The sequence below is a fragment of the Homo sapiens genome, chromosome 4 (assembly GCF_000001405.40).
Source record: "Homo sapiens chromosome 4, GRCh38.p14 Primary Assembly".
In the NCBI taxonomy this organism is placed as follows: Eukaryota; Metazoa; Chordata; class Mammalia; order Primates; family Hominidae; genus Homo; species Homo sapiens.
In genome coordinates this window covers 7,744,368-7,753,817 of record NC_000004.12, presented here as the reverse complement: position 1 = coordinate 7,753,817, position 9,450 = coordinate 7,744,368, and the positions used below count along the sequence as shown (strand labels likewise).

General features: G+C 52.2%; 3 annotated features.

Moving 5' to 3' along the window:
• Positions 483-982: an enhancer, noted in NCBI's record as "H3K4me1 hESC enhancer chr4:7754563-7755062 (GRCh37/hg19 assembly coordinates)". NCBI's record gives its function as "activates a minimal SCP1, AML or CMV promoter by ChIP-STARR-seq in naive H9 embryonic stem cells {active_cell/tissue: H9 hESC(naive)}" and the evidence as "EXISTENCE:reporter gene assay evidence [ECO:0000049][PMID:30033119]".
• Positions 983-1,484: an enhancer, noted in NCBI's record as "H3K4me1 hESC enhancer chr4:7754061-7754562 (GRCh37/hg19 assembly coordinates)". NCBI's record gives its function as "activates a minimal SCP1, AML or CMV promoter by ChIP-STARR-seq in naive H9 embryonic stem cells {active_cell/tissue: H9 hESC(naive)}" and the evidence as "EXISTENCE:reporter gene assay evidence [ECO:0000049][PMID:30033119]".
• Positions 7,643-8,143: an enhancer, noted in NCBI's record as "H3K4me1 hESC enhancer chr4:7747402-7747902 (GRCh37/hg19 assembly coordinates)". NCBI's record gives its function as "activates a minimal SCP1, AML or CMV promoter by ChIP-STARR-seq in naive H9 embryonic stem cells {active_cell/tissue: H9 hESC(naive)}" and the evidence as "EXISTENCE:reporter gene assay evidence [ECO:0000049][PMID:30033119]".

Here is a 9,450-nt window from a genome sequence, read left to right as displayed (position 1 = left end):
CTGCACAGGTGCGTGTTCTGATGCTTATCTCCCTGCACAGGTGCGTGTTCTGATGCTTCTCTCCCTGCACAGGTCTGCTTCTTCTGCAATCAATATGCACAATGCTTTCAGGTCCCATCGCTCTGGATGAATCCATCAGGAGAATCCTTTCCTTGCACTTTTCCTATGATATTACCCCTGGTTTTAAGCCTGTTTCACATTCCCAGAGACTGGGAACTCTTTGGGGGCAGGCGCTGGCTGCCTGTTGCTGCCTTGTTGCTGTCTAGCACTGGCTTGGCCCAGGAAGCTTTTCAGAAACACTCATTTAACCGCAGCAGCAGCGGCGGATCCTCTCACGGCGTCCGCTCTGTGCCAGGCTTTGTTCCAGGTGCTTTCCATGAGTCAGCTCACCGGCCGAGCATTCAAGGTCTGTTTTTCTTTTTTTAGACGGAGTTTCGCTCTTGTTGCCCAGGCTGGAGTGCAATGGCGTGATCTCGGCTCACACCAACCTCCGCCTCCCGGCTTCAAGCCATTCTCCTGCCTCAGCCTCTGGAGTAGCTGGATTACAGGCACCTGCCACCACGCCCGGCTAATTTTGTATTTGTAGTAGAGACAGGTTTCTCCATGTTGGCCAGGCTGGTCTCGAACTCCGGACCTCAGGTGATCCGCCTGCCTCAGCCTCCCAAAGTGCTGGGATTACAGGCGTGAGCCACTGCACCCGGCCCAAGGTCTGTTTTACACTCGTCAAGTATTGGGCACGTACTGATCCGTGACTTATCCCACGACACCCGTAAGACTTTAATCGAGCAGAAATCCTTTCTCTGTGGGTTATCTTTTCAGCTTTAGAGACTGTCCCATTTTCTTTGACTAATCATTCAATTATAAGTCATGGAGAGGATATAGAGGACTTGGGCTTCTGGCTGTGGCGGATTGCAAAGTGAAGCAGGCCTCCCATGGGCACATGGGGAGGAAACCGTCAGGCATGGGGGGGATGGGCGTGTCACGTGGGTCTGGTGGTCATGTGCTGCAGCCTCACCCTCTGTGTCATCATGCACTTGCAGGGCCCAGAGGACACTCCATTGGCTAAGGTGTTGGGAGGCGTCCACTGGTTCCAAGATCTTTCTTGAAAAGCTCTATGATGACTGCTTTTTCAACTCAGAGCTGAGAACAGGAGCCATCCCCACTGAAACTGGGTTCTCGCATTCCATAGGTATAATGGCAGCTCTTAATTTCCAGAGACAAAGTGGGCTTGTGTATTGGGATGGGAAACAAGAGCTCAGCCATAATCATCATGGTTGAACCCACAGAGTGTCAGTGGTGATGAAGGGATCAGGGTGTCTCTGGGATTGAGGTCCCCACACAGGCCACTAAGGTCTTCCCTTGATCTGCACAAAGCAAACAGAGAAACAAAGATGCCCTATCTGGCTCTGGGAATTAGAGACCCTGCTTGAGTCACCGAGAAACTTAGGGCCCTTATCAATCCATCCCCAGACCTGAGCCAGGTGGCAGACCCGAAGGCCCTTGAATACGGGGGGATGTTATAGCCCCTTAGGCATGGTCCTGGCATGAATTTATAACAAAGATTTCCTCCTAACCTTCCCCAAAGACACTTACTGGAGTGATGTGCACCAAGGAAGACTCCTCACAGTTTTGGGGGAGTGAATGGACGCTGTCTCTGACCTCGAGCAAATTCCTTGGGCAACCAGACCATGTGGCTCACCAATCATAGCAAGGGTTTGTGGTGGTCAGGATATTGATGGGGTTTTGGCCCCTGTTCGAGTTACAGTGGGCCTGGCATGTTACTGAACCACCTTGTGATCATTCCCTCCTGCCTGAATGTGTAGGTGGGACACACACATGGTAACAGGCAGAATCCCTGCATGATTTCCAGACCCAACGGCTCATCATGGTAGAAAGGGCCAAGCGGAAGGCCCCTGCAAAGTCTTCTACCTACTAAAACAGTAAACAAAAGCAATATGGCATGATCAGGAGAACTGCAGAGATTAGTGCCATGATCCAAGCAAGGCCTGAAGGATGCAGGGGTGGTGATCTGGTTTGGATCTGTGGCCCCACCCAAATCTCATGTTCAGTTGTAATCTCCCATGTTGGAAGTGGGGCCTGGTGGGAGGTGACTGGATCATTTGGTACGTCCTTGTGATAATGAGTGAGTTCTTGTGAAATCTGATTAAAAGTGTGCAGCACCTCCCCACCCCCTCTCTCTTGCTCTTTTTTTTCTCCATGTGACGTGCCTGCTCCCCGTTAGCTTCTGCCATGATTAGAAGCTTCCTGAGCCCTCCCCAGAAGCAGAGGCCACCATGCTTTCTGTATAGCCTGCAGAACCGTGAGCCCATTAAACCTCTTTCTTATAAGTTACACAGTCTCAGGTATTTCTTTATAGTAATGTGAGAACGGCCTAATACAGGTGGTGGTTTCTATTGCATCTCCATAAACACTTCTGTTTTCCCTAGGTAAAAGATTGAGCTTGTGAATTTTGAAGGTGGTGATTACAATGGCAGCTTCAGTTTCAGATTCAATTTCACTGAAATAAACACAGTTCCTAGTGCCTGGTGTGCAGATCATCTGGTGAACACCTTTTAAGGTGTTTGGTGGTAATGAAGTATGATTCTCTACCTATTAGTAAGGACACCATAAGCAAGTTGCTTTCACCTGGCAGGAATAGCAGTGCACCTTTACAGCTCCTCCTCAGGTCAATGTCATTGCTCCAGCTCTTTCAGTCTCCAGGGATGCTTGTCTCACTGTTACACAGAACATGATGCTGACCCACTACCTCCATGATATGACATCAATTGGGCCTGGTGAGGAGAAAATTGCAGATTCTCTAGAAGCCTTGGTAAGAGACAAATGTGCTAAATCCCAAATACTAGGTCAGTCAGCTTTGGTCAGGAATCTAGAAGCTGCTGTGGTTATTCCAACTAGGAAAGACTTAATAAAGGGAATTCAAGGCTTATGCACCATTGCAAGGGCCGGTGAAGTGAAGGGCTGGAGAGCTGCCATGAAAATCCTGTTCACTCATGGGGGTGGCTCCCAACAACTTTGCCAGAAGGGGCTGCAAATCTCAGGAACTGCTTGGAAATTTCCAGGAGCCAGTTCAGTTTGTAACTGCAAAGTAAATGGCTCACAAGGGCTCTCCTGGGAGCTGCGTCCACCCTTGCTCCTGCCCACATGCCTAACTGAACTGCCTCTGTGAACAGCGGCCTCTCCTTCCTGTCTGCTGTTGGCATCCACATCGGTGCCTCTTATTTGGTTGATTTTACTCCTGAAACACGGGGAAGTCGGTTCTGGGAAATAAAATTTTCGGGGTCTCCTTTCCATTAAGAGAACTTCAGAGGAGACATAAGTAATGCTGAGTTGACAACAGACACCACAGCTTGTGCGGTGAGAAATAAATAAATGACCAGCAACCCTGCAGTCATCCTTTGGGGATTTCTGGTCAGAAGCCATGTGGAATCGATGTAATTACCCAAATCTCATCTTGCAGTTGTCTCAAAACAAATACCAAACCTCTCTTTGGTTTTCAGAGCCGTGCACAGGGATTTTTAACTTTTACTCTATTTTACTTCCACATTTATTTAGGTGAACACTGTTTAGCAGTGTTGATGCTACTACAATCCTTTCATACCCTCCAAATGCCCCATTACTGAAGTGCTTGCGTTTGAATCGCCGCTTGATGGATAAGGGGATATCTTTGAGGATTTTTTTTCTTTCTTGAAAGGTGCATGAATCACACATTTTCAAATACCTACAAATCCTTCTGTTTGCTTTACAAGTGAGTAACAGAGACTGAAACTGAGCCACAGACTTTTCCTCTCCATATCCCTCTACAGTTGTCTTCTGGCAATTCAGAACCGTGGAGGACCCTCAGCCCTACCTTCTATTCCCTCGTAAGCATTCTGTTTATTCTGCTGAGAAGCCTGTAGATTTTTTAATCTTTATCTTTCAAATGCCAGAATGTTTATAGGATGGACTTTCGCCTATTACCGTGTAAGCCTCTTTGATCTGCAAGCAGGTAATTTTCAGCTCAGTTTGTGTTGACTTATTCCCCAGGAATGCCTGGTTTTCACTGCTGAGCTTATGCAGTCTTTTATGTATCTTTTACTTTCTCTGTTCCTCACTCCTCTGCTCTTCTTAGAGACATTTCATCAGTCTTATTTGATGGTGACACAGTTTTGCCTCATCCTCTGTGGTCTCTTTCATGCACAATTTTTTTTTTTTTTTTGAGATGGAGTCTCGCTCTGTCACCAGGGTGGAGTGCAGTGGCGCAATCTTGGCTGACTGCAAGCTCCGCCTCCCGGGTTCACGCCATTCTCCTGCCTCAGCCTCCCGAGTAGCTGGGACTACAGGCGCCCGCCACCATGCCTGGCTAATTTCTTTTTGTATTTTTAGTAGAGACGGGGTTTCACCTTGTTAGCCAGGATGGTCTCGATCTCCTGACCTCGTGATCCGCCCGCCTTGGCCTCCCAAAGTGCTGGGATTACAGGTGTGAGCCACTGCGCCTAGCCTTTTCATGCACATTTTAATTCTGCTCATACATCAGCACTTTCCTTGCTCCTCTTACTTCAAAGACTTTCCTTTCTACTCAGCCTGCAGATTTGTACAATCTTGTTTCAAAGAGGGCATATTTTCTTACATTTTACATCAAGGCAAAATGCATATCATTTCCAAAATTCTCTCCGGCTGCCTTTAATAAACTCTTCCATACAGCATACCTTTTCTCCGAATCCACGGGGCAGACTTCCAGCTGCCTTAGACTGTGGGGTTGTTTTTCCGGCCCCTCGGTACTGTGGTTGTTTCTCGTTTGAGTTACTTATCCCCGAATGAGGAGGGCTCCCTTCAGACCAGGTGTTTTCCAGTTCATGAGCTGTGTCCTGTCTCCTGCCTGCTGCATTCTTAGAGCTGATCAAGCCCTTCTTTCCTGCATTCATCTTGGAGGCAGCCTGGCGTGCAAGGCCCCCCGACAAACCTCTGTATCCAGCAGGCCATTGCCCTGCATCTACCTCTGGGATTAAGAAGGGGTCGTCCCCGATCCCACCGTCTGATTTTAAACCCATGCCACCCGAGACCTCCGGGATTGAGAAGGGGTCGTCCCCGATCCCACCGTCTGATTTTAAACCCATGCCACCCGAGACCTCCGGGATTGAGACAGAGTCGTCTGGGGACGACTGATTTTAAAATCCCACCGTCTGATTTTAAACCCATGCCACCTGAGCATTTATTTCTGGCTGCATTTTGTAGTTGTTCCTTGTCCCAAGTGCAGAGCCACGTGGTAGCTGTCTGTCTCTTGGTGCCCTGGCTGTCTTGCCTTCCTAGTCTATGTGTGGAAGCAGTCTTCCTGTTTCTCAGCTGCCAGGGTGAGACCCTACCTGTGGCTTAGGGGGTTGGGGGAGCATGTGATTTTAGAGTAAGACAGTGAGCCACAGGGATTCTTTTTGGGATGGCCATGTGACCTGATCAGTGTCTGTAGACTTTACGAGAGGAAGATGTTGAGTCTGGAGCTGCTGCAGCAGTTTTGGGACCTGAGGACACCTACTTGCCCCTGTACCCGAGAGGTGGACTGTGGCTGGGAGAAACAGAGCCACACTGAAGGCTTTGAATTAAACCCTGTGACCCAAATCTCCAGTGGGGGCTTCACCCTGCCGGCAATTTTATTGCCTCCCTTGGTCTATCCATTTTCTCACTTTTCCTAATGACAATTTCACACCTCCTCCTGTTTCCTCGGCCCTCTCCCGCCTCACTTTCAGCAACGCTGGTGCTTCTCACTTTCCTGAGAACACAGAGCCATCTGAAGAGAAGCCACTGACCCAGTGCTTCCTGGGCCCCTGTTCCGAGGGATGCAGCCCCTGCTTCCACCTTCCTGGGTGGGTTCCCAGGGCTGCAGCCCCCTGCTTCTGCCTTCCTGGGCCTGTTCCGAGGGATGTAGCCCCTGCTTCTGTCTTGGCCAGCCCCTCTGCTTGTTTGCGGGCTCTGTCCCACTCGCCCCTCCAGGACCCGCGCTGGGATAGGACCACACCCTCCTGCACCACCTGTCTCTCCATGTCTGCTGGGTCAGTCCCCTCCACACACCACTCTCTTCCCAAAACCATCCACAGCCACAGACTCCCAGCTGCTGCCCCGATTCTCTGCTCCTGAGTTATAAGAAACTTCTAGATAGTGTTAGCATGCATGCTGGCTGTCTTCTTCCTCGCCTTCCATGATTCCCTCCACCCGCCCTGAGCCGTCTCTGTCCTCACGCCCCCTGAAGGCCTCGTCTGGCTGGATCATCCACTCAGCTTCTCTGCAGCCTGGAGCACCCCTCACTCGGCAGTGTGGCTTCACTGCCCCCTGGACGCCACATTCTCCCCTGGGCGCCCTCTCTGCAGGGTGGCCGCTCCTTCTCAGCTCAGACCTCTCCTTACTGAGGGCTACTCACACAGCCAGTGGCTCCGGAGGCTTCTCCACGTAGGCATCTGACAGGCAGGCACCCCCATCATAACAACTCCAAAAGAGAAGTTTCAATTTCTCACCCAGGCCTGCTCCTTCCTTCCCTGCTCTTGCCTGTGTCAGTTCATGGGGCCTCTGACCGCCTGGTTTCTCAGGCCCTGGTCCAGGCAGTGTCCTCAACTTCCCTCTTTCCATCTACCCATGGGTTCTGGCAGCTCCACGTCTCACCCGCTCACCCTGACCACAGCGCTCGGGACACCAGCTCAGACTGGCCTCCTGCCGGTCACCCAGCTTCCTCTCTTGATGCACAAGTGACACTTTATAAAAGATCAGTGAGGTCCTGCCCCTCTATTGCCTGACCTTGTCTGTGACGGGCTGCCCACTTTGCCCCTTCCGTGGGTCCCTGCCCCCTTCCGTGGGTCCTCGCCCCCTTCCGTGGTTCCTTGCCAATCTTCCTGCTGAGACTCACATTGAGCTCCCCCACAGAGGCGCGGTGGTGACGGGAGGGCCCGGGTATTCTGCGGTGCTCACTTTGGTCCTGGCTGTTGGTTTCTGTGGGCCCTGCTTCCCTGGACTATGAGACAGGGATGGAGGCATCTATTCCAGGGAGTTGCCACCAGCGTGTTGCAGGAGGGGCATGAAAAGTGCCCGACATTAGGCTGGGTGCACCACAGAGACTAATTGAGGGGGTCACAAGGACTGCCATCCCACTGGGCTCCACACTCTGCTGCCTGGCACAGCCTCTCTGTGCCTCCAAAGCCTGAGCGCTTGTTGGATCACACACAGCGCTGAACACTTGGGCCAATGCAAGCTGCAGAAGACGCGACTGGCACTGTTCTTCCAGCGCTGAGCCAGGAAGAATTCTAGAACCCTAGAAGGAGCACAGCAGGCCGTCCGCTGGGCCTGGTGCTGCCTGTGATTAACAATCGAATTGTAATGATATGGAATTGGCTGTGGGTTCTGGGCACACATTATTAAATGCCTGGGCTGGTGCCACTGAGAGCCTGGAACTGGCAAGTCTGAACTCACTCAACTGCAAAAAGACCCCAGGCTGTGCAGTCTGCAGGAGACGTCCCTGTGGATTGGAACATGATGCCAGGCCCAGCAGAGGCTGGGGACCGCTGTGAAGGGCCACTGCCACCGAGCCCCGTTGGAAATGGCAGTGCTTGGCAATCATTCCAGCAGTCCCAGACTCATGCCACGTTTCCCTGCCTAAAGACTCTGGGTGTGGCTGGGACAGGTGGGGAAGTCAAAGACCGCCACCCGCCCCATGTGTGCAGGGATGGCTGCGTCTCCCCAGCTTTTCCCCAGCTTTTGTTAGAACTGAGCTTGGGCTGGCGTGGGTTTCCATGTGGCTACTCCTGCTGAGAGGGTCTGTGCTGCCCACCTGCAGACACTGGTTCCTCCCCAGTGCCACCCCACCCCACTAAAAGAGGACTCTGTTAGTGCCCCCCAGCCTGGGACCCCCCCGGAGCTCACCTGTAGCTGAGCAAGCTGGGTTACCACTCAGTGCAGCGAGGAGAACCTGGGCGTCTCAGCGGGGTTAGAAGGGCCTGATGATTGTCAGGTGTGGGCAGTGAGAGGTGATTTGGCAGGGGACTCAAGGAAGCTGGGCTTGGCTCTGGATTGGGGGCTGTGAGGAGGCGGGGTCGTGCTAGGATCTGGCATCTCAATCAATCTTCTCTAGAGGGAGGGGTGACTCAGGGGAGGCAGGAGCCCGGCCAGTGACACCGCGGCCCTCACCCGTCTCGGCAGGGAGAGGTGTCTACACATTTCTGGGAGGTTGGACAATGTTCCTGTGTGGTCTGATTGCACAGTGGTCTCACTTTTGTCTTGACTCATCTTGATCCTGGAGCGGCCTTGTCTTATGTTGGTGCTCGATGACATTGGGTGTGTTGGACGGGGGAAAAGCCCAGGCACCGCTGGGAGTGCCCAGTGACTCTGGATGCCAAGGGCCACTTCCTCTTGGCCACCAACCCTGATTTTGCACAAATCCCCATGGAAATAGGTGACATTCTTGACAGCAGCCTCAGAAGCAGCGTCCCCACAGTGCCTTCTGGGGGCATATCCCTGCATGCTGGGGCTGGAACTGCTGGGGAGTCCTCTGGAGAGATCACGGGTGTGCCACAGAAGGGGCCTCTGGGGACGTGTGACTGAGAAATGAGGTGGCTGCCCTTCTCTGGGCCTAATGGGCACACAGAGTGCTCCTTTCCCAGCCCCTTCTCTGAGAGCCACCCCACGGCCCTGGTGGCCAATTCCCCTGCTGCAAGGAGGCCTCGGGAGCAGCCACTGTGATTGACTACTGGAGCATTCCATCATCGGCCATTTCTGTTTCCCCCATTGAACCAAAGGAATGAACATGTCGGATCTTTGAGGTGAGGGGTTTTGTCCTTGTAATGCAACATGTCCATGACATTGCATGTTTCTCTCTGTTCCTTTGAGATTTGTTGTTTCCCAAATGACTCTGGACACTAAATTCAAGGCTACCTCGAATTTGGGGTTTAGCTGGAGCTTTCAAACAGTGCCCCATATTTCAGTTAAAAGTTGTTTCCCCCTTCCCAGCCGCCTGGGATGTCTTGGTCTCCTTATCTGTGATCTGGCTGCTTGTACCTGCCCTGTCTACATGAAGCTCAGGTTGGAGAAGAGGCCAAATAGCATCTTGTGGCAGGTTACAAACGCAGAGCCAATGGGCATGCTTTGCTGCTGTCACCTGAACAGGTGACGCCTCCGTTAGCTCCGTCATCCGAACAGGTAACTCCTCCATTAGCTCCGTCAGCTGAACAGGTGACGTCTCCGTTAGCTCCGTCATCTGAACAGGTGATGCCTCCATTAGCTCCATCATCTGAACACGTGAAGCCTCCGTTAGCTCCATCGTGGGCCTTCCCGTTGTCTAGACATGGCCTCCTGCTGCCAGCTGGGGAGATCATTCCAGCAAAAGGTTCCAGATGAATGCTGTGGGAGCGTGAAGCCTTCACCACACTCACTAGCTTTTCCCAGGGAGAAGACACTCACAGAGCCTGGTGCACTGAAGTG